At 50.1% G+C, this 25,655-nt stretch overlaps 1 protein-coding gene across 5 annotated transcripts in view, besides 1 other annotated feature; it reads left to right on the top strand.

Annotated features, from left to right (window-relative positions):
* SDK2 (sidekick cell adhesion molecule 2) overlaps nt 1–25,655 on the top strand; it is a 310,062-nt gene that overhangs the window by 5,954 nt on the left and 278,453 nt on the right. The gene's annotated exons all lie outside the window — the stretch shown is intronic.
* Nucleotides 12,551–13,076: an enhancer, noted in NCBI's record as "H3K4me1 hESC enhancer chr17:71621555-71622080 (GRCh37/hg19 assembly coordinates)". NCBI's record gives its function as "activates a minimal SCP1, AML or CMV promoter by ChIP-STARR-seq in naive H9 embryonic stem cells {active_cell/tissue: H9 hESC(naive)}" and the evidence as "EXISTENCE:reporter gene assay evidence [ECO:0000049][PMID:30033119]".

Raw genomic sequence — 25,655 nt, 5'->3', positions numbered from 1 at the left:
ACCCTTGTTTCCTCCAGGACTTCCTCCTAATATGTCTTATCCATCTCGGAGCACCCTATAACGTGGCATCTTCCAGCACCCACTCCCTCGCTCTCCATCATTTTCTCCATTGCACTCAGCTCCAGCTGACATATATTGACTTGTTTGTTTATTATTGGTGTCTCTGGAGGGCAGGGGCTTTGTTTCATTCACTGGTATATTTCTAGCCACTAGGGCAGTGCCTGGCACGTAGGAGGAGTCAGCATAATATGAAGACTGAATGAATGAATGAATGCTTACTGGAGGCATACAGCCCACGGTCATCTGGCCCCTCCCAGCTCTCCAGCTTCCTGCCAGGCCTCTCGCCCCATCTCCAGAGCTGATTGACTTGTGAAATGCCTCTCGTCTCTGTACATCCAGCACACCCCATGCCATGTAGCCCTCAGCGCACTGAGCAGCCAGGTACCTCAAGAGTGGGGGCCCCGCCCTCCAGCAGCTCCCGCAGATGCATCCATGGAATGGGGTAGTGTTGCCATTGAGACAGGAGTCCCTGCTCAGATTTTCTGGTCATTTTCCCAGCTCTTCCTGATTCTGGCCCGACAGATGAATCTGCCTCTTAGCAGGCCTGGCATCTGGGTTGGGCAGCCCCTGGGTCTCTGCTGAAGCCCCATCAGCTGAACTCCAACTTTATGATGTGAAGGAAATTGAGAGGAGGGGTAGAAGGTTTAGGGGGTAATGCCATTCATACATGGATGTACCATTTGAAATACACAAGGTCCTTGATTAATGCTCCAGAGGAAAAGGGAGAGGAAGATCTTGCCTCAGCACTTATATTCCCCTCCAGGCGCGGTGGCTCATGCCTGTAATCCCAGCACTTTGGGAGGCCGAGGCAGGCAGGCTGAGGTCAGGAGTTTGAGACCAGCTTGGCCAACATGGCAAAACCCTGTCTCTACTAAAAATACAAAAATTAACCAGGTGTGGTGGCGCATGCCTGTAATCCCAGCTACTTAGGAGGCTGAGGCAGGAGAATTGCTTGAACCTGGGAGGCAGAGGCTGCAGTGAGCCGAGAACACGCTACTGCACTCCAGCCTGGGCGACAGAGCAAAACTCTGTCTCAAAACAATAATAATAATTATTTAGCCTGTGTTTCTTCTGATTGTAGCCCATTCATTAGAGTGGATCACATGGTCCCACCTAATGGCAAGGGAGCTAGGAAGTGCAGGCTTTCGTGTGCTGGAAAAAGACAACAGGATCTCATGCACTGGCAATGCCTAGTGTTCCTTCATAACCACAGAGAAGACATTGTGGTCTCTGCATTTCATACAGAGGGTGACTTTACACAAGACATTTTTACCTTGCACATTCCTAAAGCAGAACCCCAGTCTGTGCTGTTACTTCCTTGTTTGGAGGCTTATTTTATTCCCCCTTAAGCTGTTAAGAAGTGGTATGTATAGGATCAGTGCCTCAGAATTGGGCTGACCTGGGTTCAAGCTCTGTCAGCTGCTATCTGTGGCACTCTGGGTTAAGTCACTTAACATTCTCAACCTCTGTTTCTTTGTCTGTAAAACAAGGAGAAAAACCTTCCAAGGCTTAAATGAGATAATACACATAGAGCAGTGAGAATGGAGCCTGACATATCATAAGCACTTGTTTAATAAATGACTTTAACTATATTTGTACTTCTGTGCTTGCCCCTCCAAATGGCCTTAAGACTGCATTAAGACGGCTTTTCTTCTCTGGTATCTTTGCTGTATATTTCACCCATATCTTCCACATCTTCTCACCTTTTTCTTTTCTTTTCTTTTCTTTTTTTTTTTTTTTTTTTTTTTTTTGAGACAGAGTCTTGCTTTGTCACCCAGGCTGGAGTGCAGTGGCATGATCTCAGCTCACTGCAACCTTCACCTCCCAAGTTCAAGTGATTCTCCTGCCCCAGCCTCCCGAGTAGCTAGGATTACAGGCACGTGCTGCCACGCCTGACCAATTTTTTAGTAGGCACAGGGTTTCACCATGTTGGCCAGGCTGGTCTCAAACTCCTGACCTCAAGTGACTCGCCCACCTCGGTCTCCCAAAGTGCTGGGATTGCAGGCATGAGCTGCCGCACTTGGCTCACCCCATTTTCTTTTGCTTCTTCCCCAGTTTAGAATCTTTTTGTCTTCCCTTCCATCCCGAGCTCACGTTTGGTGCACAGTTCTGCTTGTCAGACATGGCAAGGTGCATTACAACCATCGTCTGCCTCAGTCCTCCCTATCACTCTGACATGTGGATAAAGTGAGGCTGAGAGATTAACCACCCAAGACCTTCTAGCGGGGAAGTTGAGGAGTCAGGATGTGAACCCAGGCCTCTCTGGTCCCAACATCTGTCCTCTTTCCACTGCTCCAGGCTGCCTTTGGCTTCCACGGCATACGTCACTGTCTTCCCAAGAAGAGACAGCTATTCTCCAGGGAGATGCCCAGACAATTGTACTGTTTGAAGACGGGCTGGTCCAGGGAGGGGTGTAGAGTTTGGAAAGAGGCCTTGGAACTCCTCCTCCTCCTCTTCCTTTTCCTCCTCCTCCTCCTGCTCCTCCTGGCTCTTGCCTCCACCCTGGCTGTGTCCTCACTAGGCCTTAACTTGGCAGAATATTGAAGGTCTTCTGCTCTCCTCCTTGTCTCCATCTCTCTCTGGGGTTGGGATGCCCCAAAGCTATTTGAGGAGTTCCCTTAAGGTCATTTGGGGCATTCAGAACTGGCTTGCCAGTAACTGAGCCACACAAATGCCTTCTAAATTGAATGAGGTGTGAGGGTGGGGAGGATGAGGGGAAGAAAGGCAATTAAAGTTTGATGCCATGTAGGAAGCTATTAGTGACCCAGAGGGGTGATGAAATTTTGATGATGTGACAGTCCTAACGGAAGGAAATATTATTTGCCATAATGAGGCTCATTCAGGGAATTTGGCATCTGGGGCGGACACCAGTGACTCTCAAGGGCCTCGTAAAGCCAGGACTCTGGAAATTTCCCCCTTCCCTGGGCACCTCCCTGGAGGTACAGATCTGGGAGGCCCAGAATCTGAGTAAAGGTCAAAAATATCACTGGGCACCTGAACAATTGGGCTGTCACCACATAATGTGAGTTAATTATGAATCTGGAGCTGATGCTTCATTTGCTGCTTCGAGCCGTGAGAGCCAGTGCAGAAAGTGGCAGCAGGGGCCCAGACGGGACAGCAGAGAGCACCAAGAAACCTGAAATGGGCCGGGCGCAGTGGTTCACACCTGTAATCCCAGCACTTTGGGAGGCAGAGGCAGGCGGATCACTTGAGGACAGGCGTTCAAGACCAGCCTGGCCAACATGGTGAAACCCCATCTAAAAATACAAAATACAAAAATGAGCTGGGCATGGTAGCACGTGCCTGTAATTCCAGCTACTCGAGAGGCTGAGGCAGGAGAATTGCTTGAACCTGGGAGGCGAAGGTTGCTGTGATCTGAGATGGCGCCACTGCACTCCAGCCTGGGGTACAGAGTGAGACTCTGTCTCAAAAAAAAAAAAATAGAAACCTGAAATGCGGGTGACTCCCTGGGCTCAAATCCTACCTGTCATTTACTGCCTGGGTGACCTTGGATGAGTTACACACCCTGTCTATGCCTCAGTTTCTTCATCTGTAAAACGAGGATAACAGTTGGGTTGTGACAGGGTTTAACGAGCTGTGCTAAGCTTTTAGGACACAGTGTTCTGTGTATGTATCATAAACACTGAATAAGTGTTTGTCATGTCATTGTCCTTAGTATCTTTATCTTGGAAGCAAGGTCCGTTTGGGGCCTGCAGTTTGACAGGTGCCCCTGCCCCGACAGCTTTTGTTCCTTTTGTCTTTCACACACCTGCCAGTGGCATCTAAACTTCTGCTGTTAAGGATTTATTGATTTGGTTAAGACATTCTCTGTCTCCAGCTTAAAATGCAAATATGGCACAGAGAACCCACCTATTAAGCTATTATCAGCTGTTCAGCCTTAAGGTGAATGTATTTATTGGATCCTGCCATAAAATCTCAAATGTATGTGGGTAGCTTTCATAGACATCGCATTTGCTCTTCACCCCAGTCTATGAAGGAGGTTGGCCAGAAAGTATTAATGTTATTAACATTGTTAGTATGGAAGTTCAGAAATATTAAGTAACTTGCCAAGGTCGCTTGACTTGTAAGAAAGAGATGATGAATGCAGGTCAGCTGCCTCCCAGGCCATTGCCTTAGATTTGGCCAAGATACCCACATTCAGGAACTGTTTGCCATGCTGCTTTGGGCTGGTGGACCCAGGGTAGGCTCATTTGACCACAGGCTTCTCCTTAGCTTGGGTGGGCACAGGAGGAGGACACAGGGGGCACCCTGGGCTGGCCTCTTCTTTCTCTAAGGACACTTGGAGCCCCCTCTTGATGTCCATAGGGTCTTAGTGATGGGGTCTGGATGCTGAGACCTGTCATTATCACGCCCTTGCTCTTAGAACCCTGGTAGCTTCCCCACAGCTGTGGCCTCAACGGCAAACTCTCCACAATCTGGCCCTACCTGCCACTGCAATCTCGCCTCCACCTGTCCCCACGCCAGCCTTCCACCAAGCTCACACTGCCCTCCCCACCCTGCCAGCCCAATAGCACCTTCCTTTCTCCCCTTTCGAACCCCTGTTCTCCTCTCCACTGACCCCAAAAAGTCTAGCGTGAAGCCGTCCCTGACTTCCAGCTGGGACTCCTCCTCCCAGTTGTTCCAGTCTAGATGTCTCGCTGGGCACTTTGGCCTTGTTGATTCTGAATTATCTTTTAATATCTGTGTGTAACTGATTTCTTTAATTGTGAACTCCTTGAGTTTAGATAATAACCCTTCATCCACAAGGACTGAGGTACTAGACGTAAATTATTTCTTGAATTAATGCACTTAACTCTTTTAAGGGTGCTATGGAGGTAATTGTGAAGTCAGAGAGAGAATATAACAAGTTCATGACTCTGTGTGGGCCTCAGAGGCCACAGTGGAAGAGTCTCATTGGGTCCTTTTGGGCCAGGCCTTTTAGCCTGTGTGGCCACAAGTGTCCTCATTGGGAAAAAAATGGGAAGGTAAATGCAGCTTTTCCAAACTCTTCCATGATGTTCCACTCATGGTAAGGAGGGTGGACACATGCCCTGGGGTATCCGGCCATGCAGCCTGAAACCACCTACTATCCCATGACCTTTTCCTTATATATTTCTAAATTTTATTTTATATTTAATTTTATATTTTTTGAGATGTCGGTCTCTGTCAGCCAGGCTGGAGGGCGGTGGCGTAGTAAGAGCTGACTGCAGCCTCAACCTTCTAGGTTCAAGCGATCCTCCCACATCAGCCTCCTAAGTAGCTGGGACCACAGGTGTACACTACCATACCCAGCTAATCATTTTATTTTTTTTGTAGATACAGGGTCTTGCTCGGTTGCCTAGTCTAATCTTGAATTCCTTACCTCATGTGATGCTCCTGCTGCTGCCTCCCAAAGTGCTGTGGTTTCAGGTGTGAGCCACCACACCCAGCCTATTTTAGTTTTAAAATGTGTGAATATGTGCATTCTACTCCATGGGCTATCTAAATTCTATCCCAACACATAAAGGATATGTTAAAGCTGGTTGATGCTGCTGGAAGATGTGGCTTGTCGTCCCCATGGCTTCCTGGACCCCCTAGAACATACATCAAAATCTGGTCTTGAAAGACTTGAATGAGTCACAGCATCTGTAAGATTCTAAGATGCTTTACATGTATATATTTAAGCTGTTTGTGTTTAAAATTTTCTGTGCTGTTTTCTAAAGCAGTTGGACCTCAAACATAGTTGAGTCACTCTACCTGTATTAGTCAGGGTTCTCTAGAGGGACAAAACTAACAAGACAGATGTGTATATGAAGGGGAGTTTATTAAGAGTATTGGATCACACAGTCAGAAAGTGAAGTCCCACAATAAGCCATCTGCAAGCTGAGGAGCAAGGAGGTCAGTCCAAGTCCCAAAACCTCAAAAGTAGGGAAGCCGACAGTGCAGCCTTCAGTCTGTGGCCAAAGGTCTGAGAGCCCCTGGAAAATCACTGGTGTAAATCTGAGAGTTCGAAAGCTGAAGAACTTGGAGTCCGATGTTCAAGGGCAGGAAACCTCTCACACGGGGAGAAAGATGGAGGCTGGAAGACTCAGCAAGTCAAATTCTTCCACGTTCCTCTGCCTGCTTTAATCTAGCCATGCTGGCAGCTGATTAGATGGTGCCCACCCAGACTGAGGGTGGGTCCACCTCTGCCAATCCACTGACATAAATGTTACTCTCCTTTGGCAACACCCTCATAGACACACCCAAGAACCATACTTTGCATCCTTCAATCCAATCAAGTTGACACTGAATATTAACCATCACACTGCCTATCTGCTATGGCTGGCCTATGGCCATGCCTTAAGGGTGGTGGGAGTGAGGATACGGCTGTTGCCCCTCCCAAGGGGACCCTGCTGCTTGGGTGATTGGGTGGTAGTCTGGGTTCTTCTTCAGCTTCACCCAAACTGCTCCAAACCATTAGAGGAGCTGTCTTGGACCCTCCCACCTCCCCCTCTTAATTTGGGCCAGGCAAGCCAATCAACACCAGCAGTGGGGTCTTATTTGGAGACTAGTTGAGGGCTTGAAGACTCTCTTAGTCAGAGGTTTGGGCTCTGGGATCACTATGTCCACCGCCCAGGGGCCTTTTTCATTTAGATGTGTGGGTACCTTCCAGAAGAGCTGAGGCTCCCAGAAGACCAGCCCCTTGCAAAGTAGGTCCTTACTGTGTGTGGCTGGTGCCCCATACAGCTGCAAGCACCTTGCCTTCCCCATGCATCACTAAGGAAATGTTCTTGATTAGGTTCAAGCACCTCCTCCCAAAACATCCACCCAGTCCCCCACCAGGGTTTCTGGTCAGCAGCCCGCCTGCTTACCCAGTTCCCCGGGGTTCCTGGCTGGCAGCCCACCTGCTCACCCATTCCCCTGGGGTTCCTGGCCGGCAGCCCACCTGCCCATCCCTGATGTTTGTCTCTGGCTGCCCTGGCTTGAGGACTCAGAACCCAGAATGGAAGAGGGGCTTCTGCCCTGAGACGGTGCCCGGTGCTCAGACCTGATTGCTCGGTCAACCCCAAAGTCTCTTCCCCACGGGCAGTGTGCGTGTTGGCTTTGGACAGCTCTGGCTGGCTCAGCCTGGTGACCCTTGACTTCCCCATTTGGAGTTCCTTTCTGTGCCCTGGTGTAGTGTCTACAGGCAGAGAGCGGGTTGGCCGGCAGACCGTTGTGGGGCCTGGGCTGCCAAGGAGGGCCGAGGGGAGTTCCTCATTAGCTGGGCTCCAAGCTCATTATCCGCCTGCGCATCACTGGGTGAAAAATGGTAGTCGTCGGGACAGTAATAAATACGCGGCTGTCAGTGTTGATGTGATGGCTCTAATGAAGAGAAATCAGCCCCAGAGAGGAGGCGCTTCTGGCTGTGGCTTCAGGTGGCTGGAGAGCTCTGTCCACTGCCCATGCTCCTCTGTCCCAGAGCCCCACGAAGACAGAGAAGGGAGGTGTTGGCATTTAACCCCTTCCTCCTCAGGCCCTGGTGGACGAAGAACCTAGAAAGTGCTGGAAACCACCAAGAAGAAGGAACACCGTTCTGCTTCAGGGAGGGGCGGTGTGCTGAGGGGTTGCCAGCCTCAGCCTGGGCCTTGGGCAAAGGCAAGCAGGACAAGCGGGGTGGACAGTGGTGCTTTTGACAGCTCAGCCTCCCTTGCAGAGCCCTGGTTTGAAGCAGGAAGGCGTGGGGACGAACACAAGGCCCATTGTCTGTGCCCCCAGGCCTGCCACCTCCCCGGGAATGTTAGGACTTATTGTGTCTCCAGGAACTTGGAATGTCCAGCCCCAGGGTTTAGGGATTAGGCCTCTGCTGAGAAAGATCTTGAGGGGTCCTGGGTCCTTAGAGCCCAGGCTGAGTCCAAGCTGAGGCACAGCCATGCCTCCTAGATGCTGGCAGAGAGAGGGACGACACTTAGGCCCCTCATAGTGCCAGGCCCTGGGGGAACCTGGGGGTTGAGGAGGGAGGAGGGCGGGATGGGAGGGATGAGGGGGTGCCCTTTCATCTGAGGCATCAGGAGCCACATTCTGAGAGCCCAAGTGTCACCTGCCTCTTGATGGAGGTAAGGGAGTGGCCTAGAGCAGTGGGTCTCATACTTGAGCACCATTTGGGGACCTGTTAGAATGCATATTCCTGGGCCCCATTCCCAGAGCTTCTGAAGCAGTGGGTCTGGGAGGGGCCTGGGAATTTGCATTTCTGACAGTTCCCAGGTGTCGCTGCCACTGCTGCTGGTCCAGGGAGCCCACTTTGAGAAGGCCTGGCATAAAGATTTGAAGAGAAGGTGCTTCTCCTAGGGCCCGAGTCTAGGTGTCATGGTGGTGGCTGAGCTGAGCTACTTCTGCCCATGGACTCCGAGTCGGCTGCTGCAACTGCAGAGGGCTACAGCAAAGCTCAGTTAACACATGAACTTGAACGTGGTGATGGCCTTGCACCTGGTGGGGGGTTGGTATTGACCAGCACTCATTCTTCACTTCTTCCTTCAGGAGGCTCTTGCCCCTCCTGTCCTGACTTAAAAGAAAAGGAAAGAAAATCCAGCCCAGAGCCCTCCTTCCTGGGAGAAGGAGCTTTTCTAGAAGCTCCAAAGTAACCCCCATGAGCCAATGGATAACCAAAACCATGAACCTCTTTTGCTTCTCATGCACTTACTAAGCACCATCTGTATACTAAGTGAGGTGCCCAGGATCCAGCCCAGTCTAAGGCAGGTCCTTGCCCTCAAATTGCTCACGGTCAAGTGAAGGCAGCAAGCCTGTGGTTGGTACTATAGGACAGGTGATTTGGGAGTCCAGAGGGATGACCTGAGATGCTGCCCCAGAGGAGGAGGTAACATAGAAGCTGAGTCTTGTAGGATGGGAGGGGCCCCCGTCTTCCCTAGGAAATGCTGGGGTCTTCTTTTTCATCCTTACTGATACCAAGCAGCAATTATAGACAGCAAATACGCACCTTGGTCGTATCTAATCACTAAGGCCAAAGTGTACCTGGCCACACCCCAAGTGGCTTCTGCCCTCAGGTGCTTACACTCAGGGTCACTTGCATTCCTGGGCAGCAACCATCTCATAGAAGCTATGCAAGCGTCAGGAGGGAAACAGCAGCTTAAACCACGGTGAATCATCTAAGCACATGTGGGACAGGCAGATGCGTCTGGGGCTTGTGGTCTTTCTTCCCAGCACCCTCCTTGGGCTCCAGATTCTGGAGCCTCCCTGAGGGCCCGTATCTGAGCTAAAATGGTAGGGAACAAAGAGAATTACTAAGGTCAGATTACAAAGGGCTACCTCACTTTATAGAGGAGGATGTGCAGCCAAGAAAGGCAAGTGAGGTGCGAGCTCAGGAGCCTGGCTTTCCTGCCCCCTCCGCAGGCTCCACCCACTGCAGCTGCTGGCCAGTCTCTGGCAGGACTGAGTTCTCTGGACCCTCCTTGGCACCATCCCCCACGTAGGAATCAGCAGAATTGGGAGGTGGGAGAGCTGCAGAACAGCTGGACCCATGATCTGGCTTCTCCAGCTCACGTCCAGGGGGGTCTGGGCATGGACACCCCAGATCCACATCTGGGTAGCCACCAGCCTTTGCCAGGGGTGGGAGGGGGTGGCTGAAGAGCCAGTCTCTGGGGCGTGGCTTTGGAAGGGGGCCACACTTCCTCTCGTGTGCCCCAGCACCTCTCTGAAGTGTGGTGAGTTTGAATATCCTCTGCAGGGCTGGGAATCAGGGAGGAGGAGTGACCAGCCTTGGGCTACCCCATGAGCAGCACAGACGGCCACTTCCCTGGCTCTCCTGACCCCAGAACTGGCTGCTTGTTTAGGGGTGTGGCTCTCTGGGCCCGTCCCAGGTGGTCAGTTTAGCTCTCCTATGCCACACCAGCCCCAGACACTCAAGGCCCATGAGTGGGGTTAGGGGAACCTGCAGGTCAGCTCCCGGATCAGGAGCTTTTGGGGTTCCCCAGAACTCAGGGCATCATAAAAGCTCACAGTGACTGAGCCTTTGCAGGTGCAATGTCAATCTAGATGCTGTCTGTGGATCTGCCCCTCCAATCCTCTCAGGCGTCTAGGAGGAAGCATATTTTCCCATTATATGGACCAGGAAACCGACACAGAGAGCCCAGCAGCTTGCCCAGAGTAGCATGGCTTATGAGTGCTGGATTCAGGAACGGACCCAGGAACTGGGCGCAGAGCCTGTGTTCTCAGCCACGGTGTGTGCTGGGTGGCATCCTGGCCCCCCTGCCTCCTCTCTGTGCTCCTGAGGAGGCCATATTCTCAGGCTGGCCTGTAATGTGGCCTAGTTCTGCCTGCTTGGCTAAATGACCTTGGCCAGATGACTTAGCCTTTCCCTAGCCTCAGTTTCCTCATCTGTTAAATGTGGTGTTTTTTGGTTTGGTTTTGTTTTGTTTTGTTTTTGAGACGGAGTCTCGCTCTGTCGCCCAGGCTGGAGTGCAGTGGCACGATCTCGGCTCACTGCAAGCTCCGCCTCCCGGGTTCATGCCATTCTCCTGCCTCAGCCTCCCGAGTAGCTGGGACTACAGGCGCCCACCACCACGCCTGGCTAATTTTTTTTTGTATTTGTAGTGGAGACGGGGTTTCACCGTGTTAGCCAGGATGGTCTCGAACTCCTGATCTCGTGATCCGCCCAATCTCGGCCTCCCAAAGTGCTGGGATTACAGGTGTGAGCCACTGCGCCCGGCCAAATGTGGGTTTTAAACAAACAAAACATCCTCACACTCGAGGGTTGGTGGGAAGATTGTCTGATGTACGATTTGGGAACGTGGCTGACCCAGCAATGGAATTACTATGTGAGCCCGAGGGGCTCTGTTAGGGGCCTGTCCCACCCACTGCCCACCGTGCTCCTGACCTGTCCGCCTAGGGCTCAGCCAACCTGGGCACCCTTGGCCCAGGACTTTGTGCTTATCCCTCATGCCCTTGGGGTCTCTGCTCCCTGGGGCCTCCTGCTCCCTGTGGCCTCTGTGCCTGTTTCCACATGGGTGGGGGAGCTGAGGAGCACCCCAGGACTCAACTCACATGGAAGGAGGCGTCGCTGAAAGATGCGGTCTTAAGAATACAGTGTTCCTTTTCATCCCATATTTGACTGAACCTAAGACACATCAATTATAAGGCATGTTATTTTATGTGCCGCCAAGAAAGAAAAAAAAAATGCTGCCATTTAATCCACAAAATACATTCTGACTCCAGAGATATGAAAATGAAAACAATGTGCATTTAGAGGAAATATGGTAATAACCACCATTTATATAAAGCCTATCCCCTTCCCAGTCTGTGTTCTAAGCGCCTCACATGTATTAACACATCGAATCCTTTCAACAACCCCCATGAGTTTGGAGGTGACCATCCTAGCAACTAGAAAATGGGCTGGTAGAGTTGGTTCAAAATATACAAGATGCTCATGCTGGCAGTGTTCACCAGTTGTCCGATATTGCAAAGGTTCTTTTTGGATTTTACACCCCCCCGGCTAGTGTTGGGTTCTGTTGATTGGGCCCCCTGCGCAGGCCAAGATGGAGAAGGGGTCACAGGGTGAAGACGCTACCCAAGGAGACCGAACACTGCCCCTCTGTCCTCAGCACAGCAGGTCCAAGCTCATGGATAAATCAGGAAACCCTCTGGGGTCCACATCGAAGACCAGCCCCTGGGGCTCAGACAACCTCAGGCCTGTCCCCAGGTCTCCAGAGAACCCTCCCATTCCATCGCTGTCTTCCTAGAATGTGCTGGGCTGATGAAGTCTCTCTTCTGTCCTGCCTCCATCCCAGAATTCCTTCCTCAGCCCTGTCTGATGCCAGCACCTGTCTTCTGGGCACAGGACAGTGGCCCAGAGGAATGCATGTCTGGCTGGCTTTGCTCTCCACCAGGCCTGAGTAACCAGTGGTGGGGGATGGGGAGCTGGAGGGAGGCCTCTTGTCTGAGCTGGAACTTGCAGGCCAGGCTGGAGCTTCTGAATCCAATCCACTTGGCCTTTTCCTTCTCCTTTGGCCAACCCAAAATCAAAGTGAAGGACTTGGCTTAAATTCCCCAGAGCCCCTGGGACAGGCTGGCATAGCTGGGCGCCGTGCATTTGCCCAGCCCTTGGGGTTTGGGTGTGGTGGGGGTGGAGGTTTCCTTGGAGAGGCCAGGGCCCTGAAGACAACTGGCCCCTGTCCTCCCCCTCCCGAGCCCCGGCCAACGCATTCATCTGTCACTACAGACAAGAGAGGAGGACTTGGGATCTGTTCCCCAGCTCGCTCAGGCGCAATTCTGGCACATCTCTTGCCCTCTCAGAAGGTCCTTCCTCCCTCCTGGCCTCTCCTGAAGTTTTCTTTTGTTTTCCAGCCTGCCAGGCTCCCGCTGCCTGGAGGTTGGGGCTTGCAGCAGCCTGCCCAGAGACGGCTCTGTCTCGCTCAGTGCTCAGGTCTTGGCCTCCAGGAGCAGCTCGGAAAGGGGGTATAGCCCTGACGTGTTCTCTAACCCACTGGCAGGACCAGCGGCATCTTTTGCAGGATCCGGTGCAAAATGAAAATGCTGCAGGACTCGGTGATTCACGCCTATAATCCCAGCACTTTGGGAGGCTGAGGTGGGTGGATCACCTGAGGTCAGGAGTTCAAGACCAGCCTGGCCAATATGACAAAATCCTGTCTCTACTAAAAATACAAAAATTAGCCAGGTGTGGTGGCGGGCACCTGTAATCCCAGCTACTCGGGAGGCTGAGGCAAGGGAATCGCTTGAGCCGGGGAGGCAGATGTTGCAGTGAGCCGAGATTGCACCACTGCACTCCAGCCTAGACAACAGAGTGAGACTCTCTCTCAAAAAAAGAAAAAGAAAAAGAAAAAAGAAAAGAAAATGTGGTGTTAAAAAATTAATCAGAATTTCAAGATGGCAGCGGAGAAATATTACACCAAGGGTGGTGCCCTTCTAGGCGTGGGGCCCAGGGTGACTGCCCAGGTCGCAAGCCCAAGAACCCTGCCCTGCCCACTGGTGAGACCTTCAGGTGTTCCCCTCCCCTCTCCAGGCCTCAGTTTCCTGCTCTGGAAAGCAGAGAGGCCACCACCTAGGACCCTGTTCTCCTGCTGCCCCCTCTCATGGGGCTGACAAGGCCAGGGGACCCTCTTCTCTCAGGCTCCAGGAATACGACAAGGGTGAGGTAGAAGAATGGTGAGCAGGCCTAGAAACTTCTCCATGAAGTTCCCCAGTTTTGCCTAGGAGACTGTCTTGGGCGTCACAGGCAGGATGTGGAATTCCGCCTCGCGCCCTGGTGCCTGCTTGTCTGGTCCTGCCTGGTATGCACTGCTCTCTCTGCCTCTGTCTCCCTGTCTCATGAGAGGCTGTGTTCAAATTACCATGGTCTTGAAAGCCAGAGCACACCTCAGCTGGAATCCTGGCCCTGCTGCTTGTGAGTTATGGGACCTCGGCAAGCTACCAAAGCTCTTCCAGCCTCAGTTACTTCGTCTATCAAATGGGGCAGTGAGACATATTGCAAAGAAAATGTTAATCCTCTTATATTCAGTTTCCTCCTTCCCTGTTGACTCTTGGAGAGAGATTAGGAAAATCCTGCAAGGCTGGATAGATTTTCCTTCTGTTGTACCACAGTGGCATGGAGTATCTGGTGCAGAGTAACTGCTCAATAACCACTCCTCCTAGTAACAACATCACCACGGCCACCCTTATTATAGTTGCATCTTCCCCTCGTGAAGCCGGATTAGTTCAGGGCTTTTGGATGCACCAGTTCCTTGAGTGGCTGAGAGCGGTGCTTATGCCGGCAGCCTCAGCATCACTCAGCGGTTGCTAAACATGCAGAAACTCAGACCTCACCCCAGACCTGATGAATCAGAATCTGCATTTTAAGATTCCCCAGGTGCGGCATGCACATTAAATTCTGGGAAGCACTAGAGTTCATTTGCTGCTGTTGCTATTTTAAGATTGATTTTAGGAGGGTCTCTACTCTTCTAAAAAATAGGAGTGATCAGTTCTATTCTTTTTTTGGAGACAGAGTCTCTCTAGAGTGCAATGGCACAATCTCGGCTCACTGCAACCTCTGCCATCTGCCACTCCCGGATTCAAGAGATTTTCATGCCTCAGCCTTCCAAGTAGCTGGGACTATAGGCGCACTACCACACCAGCTAATTGTTTTGTATTTTTAGTAGAGACAGGGTTTTGCCATGTTTCCCAGGCTGGTCTCGAACTCCTGAGTTCAGGCAACCTGCCTGCCTTGGCCTCCCAAAGTGCTAGGGTTACAGGCGTGAGCTACCACGCCCAGCCCAAAAATATGAACTATCAGTTCTATCAGCTTGCCTGGAGTATGTATGGAGAAGCTATTGGCTTCCTAACACTGGTCTATTTTGAATCCCAATTTTCTGCTCTCAGAGGGAAGTCCTCCTCCCTGCTCCTGCTCCAGCCAGCAGTGAGGGGGACCTGGGAGGGAGCCTGGAGGTTGAGGAGGCCCAGCAGGCTGAGCGGCCCTGCCCAGTCCTCCTCCTGGAAAAACAACCCGGAGGCCCTGCTTTGTTAATGGTCTGTCTGCCGTGCTGTCTTTGATACAGGAAGGAGAACATGAAAAGGAATCACCCCCTTAAGTAAACAAAACAGAAAATTCTCTGGAGGGGGAAAGCACAGGAGAGCTCTTGGGGGAACTCATCACTTATTGAAGGGCAATTCCCTCTGCAGTATGGATCTGTTTCACATCCGGGAAACGGGCAGAGCAGTCCAGCCTGGGCCCACAGGCGTGAAGAAGCAGAGAGAGTCGGGATCTGGGGCGGGGTGGGGTGCAGTGGAGCTGACCGAAAGGGGATCAGAGTCCCAGTGTCAGGTGAGATCAGGGGGCAGCTAGGCAACCAGAGAGAAGACAATCTGTGCTCTCCCCACCCTATCCCTGCTTTTGCAGAGCAGAGAGGCACTGAACTCGGTTAGGGTACCATCTTATTTCCTCAGTCTTGTCCAACTGGGCTTGTCCTCCTCAAGCTCTGGGGGCCTTCAGGGGGAAGGCCTCCTCCCCCTCACTCCTTCCTTCCCCCCAGGGCTCTTGGCAGAGTGCCAGGCTTTTCTATTCCTCTACTTAATCAATTGATGAGGCCTCAAGCAGTTTATAGAGCAATAGAGAACAGAGAGGGGGAACCCCAGAGCCAGACTGCCTCTATGATGACCCTAGACAAGTGACCCAGCCTCTCCGAGCATCAGTTTCCCTATCTGTAAATGGAGGATGATAGTCCTCACTTCATGAGGTTGTTGTGAGGATTACCCAATTATTTGTAAAAGCTCTTAGAAGAGCTTCTGACAGATAGTTATCTATAGCATAACAAAAATATTGAATAAATCAAAATGAAATAGAAAGCAATGACTCAATGGGGAAGAAATACCTTCCTCATGGGGGCATCAGAAAGGACTTTAAGGAAGATGGGACATTTGAACTGGGGACATAAAGATACTTAGTCACTGGAATGTAGGGATGCAGGCTCAGGAGGAGGATTCCAGGCAGAGGGCACTGCAAGGGCTGGCCGAGGCCTACAGATGGGAGCATTAGCCAAGTGCAGGATGGGTGAAGGGGAGGGCTGGGCCCCCGCTACCTCTCCAAGGAATGACAAGGAAAGGACCAGATGGTCAAGGCCCTTGAATTCCAAGATGAAGACCTTGGAGTTCAGGGCCCCAAAAAATGAAAACCAGAACCAGCCCCAATCATGCGCATGCAGGCATTGGGCATCTGAGCATTGCTCTTGGGCCATGATAGATCTAGGAAATCCACTGAAGAAGCTGCTTCCCCTGTGGTCCTTCTGAGGCCCTTGTCCCATGGGAGGAGGGGGTGAGGCACGGGAAGAAAGACGCACCTCTCCTTACTTTCCCTAAGTGTCTCTACGTACCCTTTGCAAATCACTCCAAGTGAGGCAGTGGGTGGATTTCCACCTCTGCACCAGCCACAGCACTCTTTGCCTCCCTCCCTCCTCAAACACTGAATTGTGGGGAAGAGGAGGAAAAAGACTGGGAACTATTACTTTCCTCCCTGAGCCAAGAAAACTTGTCCCAGCTATGAAAACAGCCCTAATTTCTGGAATCCAGAAGCATCATACTGTAGTTCAGGAGGGACTCACAGAGGGAGGAGAGACCTCTGCATCGGGCTTGGGGAATCAGCTGAAATCTGCACATGCAGATAACGGGGGCATGAGGGAGGGCCCTGGGTCCCCTTTCCAACGTGTTGCTGACTTTCTGGCAACCCAGAGATAAAAGGTTATTTTCTCCCTTTGGTTGACCTCTCTGTTCAACATAGAGAAAAGGACTTATAGCCCATGGCTGGGCAGGAATGAGCCTGGGCAAAGCCTTCTGAAGTTTGGGCAATTGGAGCTCAGCATTCCCCATACACTATGGTAGGAAGCTGACTCTAGTGGACACATGGATTGGTGTCCAGGTCTGTACCAATTGTCTAATTGTTGAAATGCACAGGACGGGTAGCTGAGAACTGGATGTAATATCCTCTTGTCCCCACTTTCTTTATCTTAGGTTTTCAGAAGTTTGACTATGATGAGTCGTTGGTTATCCTGCTTAGAGTTCACTGACCATCTTGAATCTGTAAATACATGTCTTTCACCAAATTTGGGAACCATTATTTCTTCAAACTTTTAGCCCCATTTTTTCTTTCCTTCTTGAGCTTCACTAACACCTATGTTAGATGTTTTTATATTGTCCCTGTTCACTTTTTTCAATCTTCTTACTCTCTGTTCTTCAGATTGAGTAATTTCTATGGATATATATTTAAGTTCATTATTTCCTTTATTGTCTCCATGTTTTGGTTAAGCCCATCCAGTGAATTTTTAAATCTGATATATTTTATTTTTCAGTTCTAAAATTTTCATACATTGTATATATGTATATATATAATGTATAAAAAAGTTATATTTATATATAACTTCTAGCTTTCTAAAGATTTACTATTATTTACTAAATGAGCACATTGTCATTTATTGCATGAAATATATTAGCAGCTTTAAAATTCGTGTCCGCTAATTTCAACATCTCATCATTTCAGGGTCAGTCTTGATTATCTTTTATCTTGAGAATGGGTTGCATGTTCTTTGTATGTAGAGTAATTTTGAATATATCTTGGGCATTGCAATAAGTCAGAGAGAATCTAGATTCTATTACATTTCTTCAACAAGTATTGATTTTACTTTTTGTTTTAGGGGGAACTAACTTAATTGATTCAAACTGCAAACTCTCCCTTGGGGCAGTAGCTCAAATCTCAGTTCAGTACATTTATCCTCAGCTGGGTTACTTGCAGTCTGCCCTGAGTACATATAGTTCAGGGGTCAGCCAGAGATTTAGGCATCATCTATACAAAGAATTTGATGTTCCCCTCACTGGCTCTCCACTTTCCAGGATCCATCCTCACTTTCTGGTGCCTGTGGTTGCCCTGAATTCTAGACTGTGAGTTTCCTCTTGGAGGTTTTTCTTATGTTGTAATTGAGGTGAAATTCACATGACATAAAATTAACCATTATAAAATGAATAATTCAGTAGCGTTGAGTACATTCACAATATTGTGCAACCATCACCTCTATCTAGTTTCAAGACATTTTATCACCCCAAAAGGAAACCCCTTACCCATTAAGCAGTTGCTCCCCACTCCTTTCCAGCCCCTGGCAACAACTCAGCCACAATCTGTATCTGTGGATTTACCTATTCTGGATGTTTCACATAAATGGAGTCATACAATATGTGACCTTTTGTATCTGGCTTCTTTTACTGAGCATAATGTTTTCAAGGTCCATCCGTGTTGAAGCTTGTAGCAGTACTTCATTCCTTTTTAATTGCTAATTACTATTTCATTGCATGTATATGCCACGTGCACTTGTTAATGGACTTTTGTGCCATTTCCCCCTGTTGGCTGTTGTTCACAGTGCATGAATAGGTGTGTGCATGTGTTTGTTTGAGACCTTGTTCTCAGTTCTTTTGGGTCTATACCTAGGAGTGGAACTATTGAATCATGTGGTAATTCTATGTTTAACTTTTTGAGGAACGAACAAACTATTTTCCACAGTTACTGAACCATTTTACAATCTCACCAGCAATGTACAAAGGTTTTGATTTCTTCACACCAACACTTGTTATTTTTCATTTGTTTAATTATAGCTGACCTGGTGGGTGTGAAGTGTTACCTTATGGGGGTTTTGATTTGTATTTCCCTGATGACTAATGGTGCTGACCATCTTTTCATGTGCTTGTTGGCCGTTTGTATATCTTCTCTGGAGAAATTTCTGTTCAAGTCCATTGTCTTTTTTTTTTTTTTTGAGACAGGATCTCACTTTGTTGCCCAGGATGGAGAGCAGAGGTACAGACACAGTTCACTGCAGCCTCAACCCCCTGGGCTTAAGCAATCCTCCTACCTCAGCCCCCCACATAGCTGGGACTATGGGCACATGCCACCACACCCAGCTAATTTTTGTACGTTTTGTAGAGACAGGGTTTCACCATGTTGCCCAGGCTGGTCTTGAACTCCTGGGCTCAAGCAAACTGCCTGCCTCAGTGTCCCAAAGTGCTGAGATTACTGGCATGAGCCAGCCACCACATCCAGCCTAATTTTTAATTATGTTTTGTTGTTGTTGTTGTTGTTGTTCAGTTGTAAGGTTTCATTACATATTCTGGATACTAGACCCTTGTCAGATGTATGATTTGCAAATATTTTCTTTCATTCTATAGATTGCCTTTCACTTTCCTGATCATGCCCTTTGATACACAAAAGATTTTAATTTTGATGAAGTCCACCTTACATTTTTTTTTCTTTTGTCATCATATCTAAGAATCCATTGCAAAATCCAAGGATTTTAAGATTTAACCCCATGTTTTCTTCTAAGAGTTTTATGGTTCAGCTCTTCTATTTTGGTTGTTGATCCATTTTGAGTTCCTTTTTGTATATGATGTGAGGTAGGGGTTCAGGTTCATTCTTTTGCATGTGGTTATCCAGTTATCCAAGCTCCATTTGTTGAAGAGACATGTTTTTTCCCCATTGAGTTTCCTGACAACTTTGTCAAAAATCAGTTGGCCATAGATGCATATAGACTCTCTGTTCTGTTACACCGGTCTCTGTGTCTGTCCTTATGGTAGTACCACACTGTTTTGATTTCTGCTGCTGTTTTGATTTCTGCTGGAGGGTTAGCTGTCTGTGCTGTGCTGACTTCAGCCTGCCCTCAAGTTTTGCTATAAAAAACAGGAAACTCACGTTGTGCCATCCATTTCTTCCAAGCAGCCAGTTCTCTCCGGTGTCTGCCCACTTTGGTTCACTCCCCAGGGCCTCCTAGGATTTGCTTTTTTTTTTTTTTTTTGAGACAGGGTCTCGCTCTGTTGCCCAGGCTGGAGTACAGTGGCACAATCTTGGCTCATTGCAACCTCCACTTCCCGGGTTCAAGCAGTTCTCTTGTCTCAGCCTCCTGAGTAGCTGGAATTACAGGCACGCACCACCACACTCAGCTAATTTTTGTATTTTTAGTAGAGGTGAGGTTTCGCCATGTTGTCCAGGCCAGTCTCAAACTCCTGACCTCAAGTGATCCACCCGCCTTGGCCTCCCAAAGTGCTGGGATTACAGGCATGAGCCACCACACCCAGCCCTAATAGTTGCTTTTTTGGTGTTCTGTCCAGGGTTCATAGTTGTTAGCTGTGGGTTTTGTGCTCTGGTAGGCATTTGCTCTGCTGTGCCAGACACAGACCCTCCACCTGTCCATCGCCTTTATTCCTGGCATTGCTTTCCTTGGCCGTGAGGATGGCAGGGGTGATCGGGGAATAGGAAGTTGCCTGTCTAAGTACCTTCCCTGTAGAAGAGTCTTGCTTGGCCTCTGCTTCCCTGACTCCCCCATGCCGTTCTTGGGCACCACGTGGACTCTAGATTCCAAAGGGAAACACCCTTCCTGTTCATGGGGCAGAAATGGAGACTCCTTTTTCCTCTCTCATTTCTCACACTGTCCTGGGCATACAGTAGGTTTTTTATAGTTCCTTGCTGATTAATTAAGAGGTCATGATTCTAAAAGGGCAAAGGAGTGATGCTTCCTTGAATCCTTGTGGCTCCATAGCCCTTGGGCTTGGCCGACCACTGCCTCCCTGGAGAATCTTGTTTTGACGACTATAAATGAATCCACAGGCACAGCGAGCTCTCCCTCTCCATGGGGAGAGGCCAGTTGGCATGAACGGCCATTTCTGCCCCAAGCCAGAAGCAAAACATAAAATGAGGCTGGGCAAAGGTATGGGGTCTAATTAAGAGGGACACTCCTAGGTATAAGAGCTGCGTCATTTACAGGCTAATGAATGGGTTTGGGTTAGCAAATTACCATTTCCCTACCTGCAGGTAAGGAAACCTATCTATTGGTTCAAGGTCTCTTGCATTTGCCTGGTATTAAATTAAGCACCTCTCTCCCCTTTAACAGGCTTCTCTCCCTGGCCCATCACACTCCATGGGACCTCCCTGGCTCCTTGGCCTGGTGGGTTCGGTCTAGTGGTTAACTCGTCAGACAGCAGCTTGCCCTCCTGACATCTTGTTTTTCTTTGTTCTGTTTTGTTTTAAGGCGTTTAGATCTCGATGTGTTCTCAAAACAGGGTTGTTGGGTATTTTGTTTTGTTTTAGTTTTACCATATCCCAGAGGCCGGGGGATGGATGAGATGACTTCCAGAGGCCTTTTCAGGCTCCCTCTTATGATGTCCTGTTTTTCTGGAGGTGAATTGGGAATTCTTTAGTTAATGGGCATAAAGTGCTTTGAAAACACAAATTGTTAAGTGGCATCAGGGACAGACTCACTAATTATTTATGAGTTCAGGAGAGCCAGTTAATTCTCCAGGAGATGGAGTTGTATTGGCAGGGGGTTGGTAAATCACTCAGGAGAACGCAAATAGCTGGGACGCCCCCTTCGTAAGCTCCCCTGGAGCCTGTCGACTAGGTATGCTGGACAGGGAGAGATCTCTGCAGCCAGAGGACAGCTCTAAGGGCCTTGTTGCCTGTCACCCTCCTCCCCACCTTGGCTGAAGTTAAAAATCAGAGCCAGGAGCCAGAAGGGCCCCTGGGGGTCTCTGGGTTCATTTCCTTGCCTTAGAGCAAAACTGCATTCAAACCATCCTAGAAAGAGAAGCATTGACTCTTTGCCTCCTAAGAACCCCCTGAAGCCCTCTCCCCTCCCCTCCGCAGGAGGCCTCTCCCCTCCCCTCTGCAGGAGGCCTCTCCCCTCCCCTGGAGCCCTCTCACCTCCCCTCTGCAGGAGGCCTCTCCCCTCCCCTCTGCGGGAGCCCTCTCCCCTCCTCTCTGCAGGAGGCCCCTCCCCTCCCCTGGAGCCCTCTCCCCTCCTCTCTGCGGGAAGCTTCTCCCCTCCCCAGAGGCCTCTCCCTTCCCCTCTACAGCCCTTCACCTTCTTTGCTCAGTGCGAGGTCAGCTCTCTCAACCACCCCTGCCCACAAGCATGCTCACAGCTATGGCCTTCCATTCCTTCATTCATTCAATAAACATGTGTCGTGGGCCTCCCATGTGCCATGCATGGGCCTGTGAAAACCCGCCCTCTCATCCCAGCACCTTTTCTAGACCTCCGCTCTCCCTAGGAGAGCTGTCTCTCCGCCCACTTTGTCTCCCCTCTGCATTCTCAGCTATCCCCACTTCAGAAGGGGCTTCTGTGTCCCTGAGCCCTGGAATCTGACCCCTTCCCCAGGCATCTCATGGTGGGAATGCGCACAGTGCAGTGCCTGCAGCTCTGAGAGCACCTCCCTCACCTCTCAGGCACCTCTCTAAGGGCTGGGCCCAGGAGGAAAGTGGCTTCCTATCCTGTAACTCTCACAGCATTCTGCAAAAACTAGCTGGACTAGTTAGTTTCTTATCTTCCTTCGTTTATAGCATCATGGAACGTTCATTTTCTCAGCCCCAAACACCCAGGACTAAGATTCCATTACTCCAGAAAAAGGATCTGCTGCCACGTGGTAATTCAGCCAGGAGAACGAAACAAACCAAAGCAACAAACCAAACAAAGACAAATGCGTGCTCAGGCCTAAGCATTGCGACAGTGGTCCTTGAGGCCACGGTCAGCCTGCCCAAGTGAAAGGAAATCACCGTTGCTTGCCTCTTTCCCTCTTGTTTTTTTCTCCTTCCTGAGCCTGCATGTGTGTGTGGGATGCTGAGCTGGGGCTGGGGAGACTGTTGAGGTGGGGAGCCGGGGGTGGAAATTTGTCTAGCTCAGACAGGCGGGGAGAGGGTGGGGAAGGCAAGCAGCACCGGGATGCCTGGGGCTGCCGAGCACAAGGTTCACAGTGCCCTGAGGTCAGTTTGCAAGGTAGCATGCAAGTGGCTTGCCTTTCTGGTCGCTTCCTGATGTTCTGGGGAAGAGGAGGTACCGATTCCACAAACTGGATCATATGTCTACTTCATGCACACTGTCAAGCTCAGATGCAGAGGGAAGAAGTATGTATGTGTGTGTACGTGTGTGTATGTGTGTTCATGTGTATATGCATATGTGTCTACATGCATGCGTGTGTACGTGTATTTGGGTTGTGTGTTCATGTGCATGTGTAGGCATGTGTGTCACATGCATGTGTATTTGTGTATATATGTATGTGACTGTGTGTACATATATGTATGTGTGAATGCACATGTGGTTGTGTGTATGTGTTGTATGTTATTGTGTGTATGTGTATTTGTGTATATGTTTATGTATGTGTGTATATATTTGTGCGCATGTATACTTGTGTGTGTGTGTTGCTTATTTCACATGACTCTGGTTTAAAAACGTGGCCTCCAGTGGGCTGTCGGACCAGCTTGTGCATCACTCTGTCTTCCCACATCCTCACCCTGGGCATCACCTAGCTGAGAGTTTTATTCCAGAACAACTTCCACCGCAACCACCATCAGACCCTGGGGTCACGTGTGGTGGACAGGAACAGGACTGGGGATGGAGGGAGGGACGGGGCTTGGGGAGAAGGTCTGTGTCTCCCTTCTTTTTGGTGAGCCGAACAGAACACTGGACCTGTCTTATCCCTGATGTTCTCTAAGTGTTATGCAAAGACCTGGACTCTGCAGAGAAACCTAGAAAGAGACTTGCTTTGCAGCTCAGGAGCATATAGCTCCACTGGGACTAGGGCTTATGGTGAGGAGGGCATCCGGGCAGAGACTCATACTTCGTTGGGACATCAGGAGGCCCAGTTCTAGACTCAGCTCTGCTAGTGGCCAATTCAGGGGCCTCTGACAACTTACTTTACTTCTGGGGCCTCAAATGCATCATCAATGACAGCAGAACGTTAAAGTCAATGATGTTTGAGGTTATCTTCTTGCTAGATCTATCTAAGACTCTGAAGTCAACAGTTGTAACATCAAGTATGTACTCATTGTGTGTCAGGCACGGTTCAAAGAGTTGAAAAATAAAAACAAGGACAATGAGAAAAATAATAACCTAGAGGTGGCTGACACTTACTGAGCACTTTCTTCTGTGTCAGGCACGATTCAAACATCAGTTTAGGAGCAGCCTTTACAAACTTTCTTTTTTTTTTTTTTTTTATCTTCTATTCAGGGGACACACATGCGGGTTTGTTACCTGGATATATTGTGTGATGCTGAGGTTTGCGCTTCTAACCATGCTGTCACCCAAAAAGGGAACCTAGTACCTGATAGGTAGTTTTTCAATCCTTGTCCCCCTCCCTCCCTCCGCCTTTTCAATCCTTATGCCCCTCCCTCCTTTCCCCTTTTCAATCCTTGTCCCCCTCCCTCCCTCCCCCTTTTCAATCCTTGTCCCCCTCCCTCCCTCCCCCTTTTCAATCCTTGTGCCCCTCCCTCCCTCCCCCTTTTCAAACTTTGTCCCCCTCCCTCCCCCTTTTCAATCTTTGTCCCCCTCCCTCCCCCTTTTCAATCCTTGTGCTCCTCCCTCCCTCCGCCTTTTCAATCCTTATGCCCCTCCCTCCCTCCCCCTTTTCAATCCTTGTCCCCCAGTGTCTTTTGTTCCCATCTTTGTGTCGCTGTGTACCCAACATACAAAGTGTCTTTCAAACATGCCCAGGACATGTTTCCCCAACCTCCAGTCTAGCCTGACTCACAGTCATCTAGGGGGAAACGAGTATAAGCAGGTAAATCCAATATGATGTTTAAATCAAGGGCTAAGAAAGAGGTGTCATCAAGTCCTTTAGGAAACCGAGGCAGGGCAGGAAACGTGGTCCATCCTCGGGTTCGAGAAGCTTTCTGGAAGAGCGAGACCCCTTCCTGCACTTAACTGTAAAGCGAGGCAAGAACCAGGCCTGCCACAGAAGGTGGGGGTACTTTCCAGGCTAAGTGAGTGAGCAGCCAGGGCAAAGGCCTAGAGGCTGCAAGGGCCCTGGCATGCTTGGGAAATGAAAAGCAGCTGAGTATGAAGTACAGCAGTGGGAGGGGAGGGGGAGGGAGCGAGGGCTGGGGAAGGGCAGGGGCCGGCAGGGAGGCCCAGTGGGCCAGTCTGGGAAAACTGGACTCTGTTGTCCAGATCTCGTACTCCAAAGGGGTGAGGAGCAGTGGTGTTTTCTTTTGTTTTTGTTTTAATAGCTAGATCTCTCTGGCTGCACTGTGGAAGATAAATTGAATTAAGGAGCACTGGTCCTTTGACTGCTCAAAGGTCCTCCTTCTCTCTCTCTTCATTTGCAGAAAGTAGCTGACACTTGGCTAATTCCTTCCCTGTGGAATCTGAGAGGCCCCTCTCCACGGCTCCCCCTTCCCTGTCCCCCTCCTCATCGCAGGGGGCTTGGCTGAGGCATCCCAGGCCTGTCCTGCTGTGGACCCAAAATAGAAGAGGTGGGGCAGCTGGGAGGGGCGTGAGGCCCTACGTGCCACTGGATGGGGGTTGGCCGGCCAACAAAGGGGTCCGGCCAGCAAGACTGATGGATGAGCATATGTAGGGGGAGGGGGCTGGGGGTGGGGGTGGGGGTGGGGCCGCACAGTGGCTCCGATTTCAGAAACCTGCCTCCCAAATGCCTGCAAACAGCTGACAGCCATGGAAAGCGGATGAAATGGGATTAGAACATCCTTTCCAAAGAGAGCACGGATGGCAGAGCGTGACAATACGGTGCCTGTCCTGCTGGCTTCACGGCTAATTCCGCCAGCCTGGAACCATCTCTCTCCAGGGGCCTGGGGCCAGGGGGACCTGGAGGGCGGGGGTGGGGAGAGCAGAGGGGGAGGGAGCGAGGTGAGCCGGCTGCTCATTGGCGTCTCCAGGGAGACGGGGCTTGGAGTCGTGGAGGGCCCCTTGGCTCCTCCAAAGGTCAGCTTGTCCATCTTCCTGCCCCCTGCCCAGCCACAGGATTATGGAGATCTTTTTCAGGGAAAACTAGTCTTGCTGTCTCTAACCCGGGCCTCACTTAGCGCTGCAGGAGAAAGTCTCCTGAAATGAAAATCTCTCGTGCCGCTTTGTGCTCCTCATTCCTCCCGCATCAACTTGAGCAGGACCTTGGTGTGTTTGTTCATCTATAAAATGGGACCGTGTTTCCCACCCCACAGGGTTGGTGGCAGATCAGACAGCATGTCGCACAGAGCCTGGTGTATACTAAACATCTGGTAGGCTGCTATTATTACCATTACTATTATTATTATTATTATTATTTGAGACGGAGTCTCGCTCTGTCACCCAGGCTGGAGTGCAATGGCGCGATCTTGGCTCACTGCAACTTCTGCCTCCTGGGTT

Source organism: Homo sapiens, chromosome 17 (genome assembly GCF_000001405.40).
Source record: "Homo sapiens chromosome 17, GRCh38.p14 Primary Assembly".
NCBI lineage: Eukaryota > Metazoa > Chordata > Mammalia > Primates > Hominidae > Homo > Homo sapiens.
This window is presented reverse-complemented; position numbering and strand designations above follow the sequence as displayed.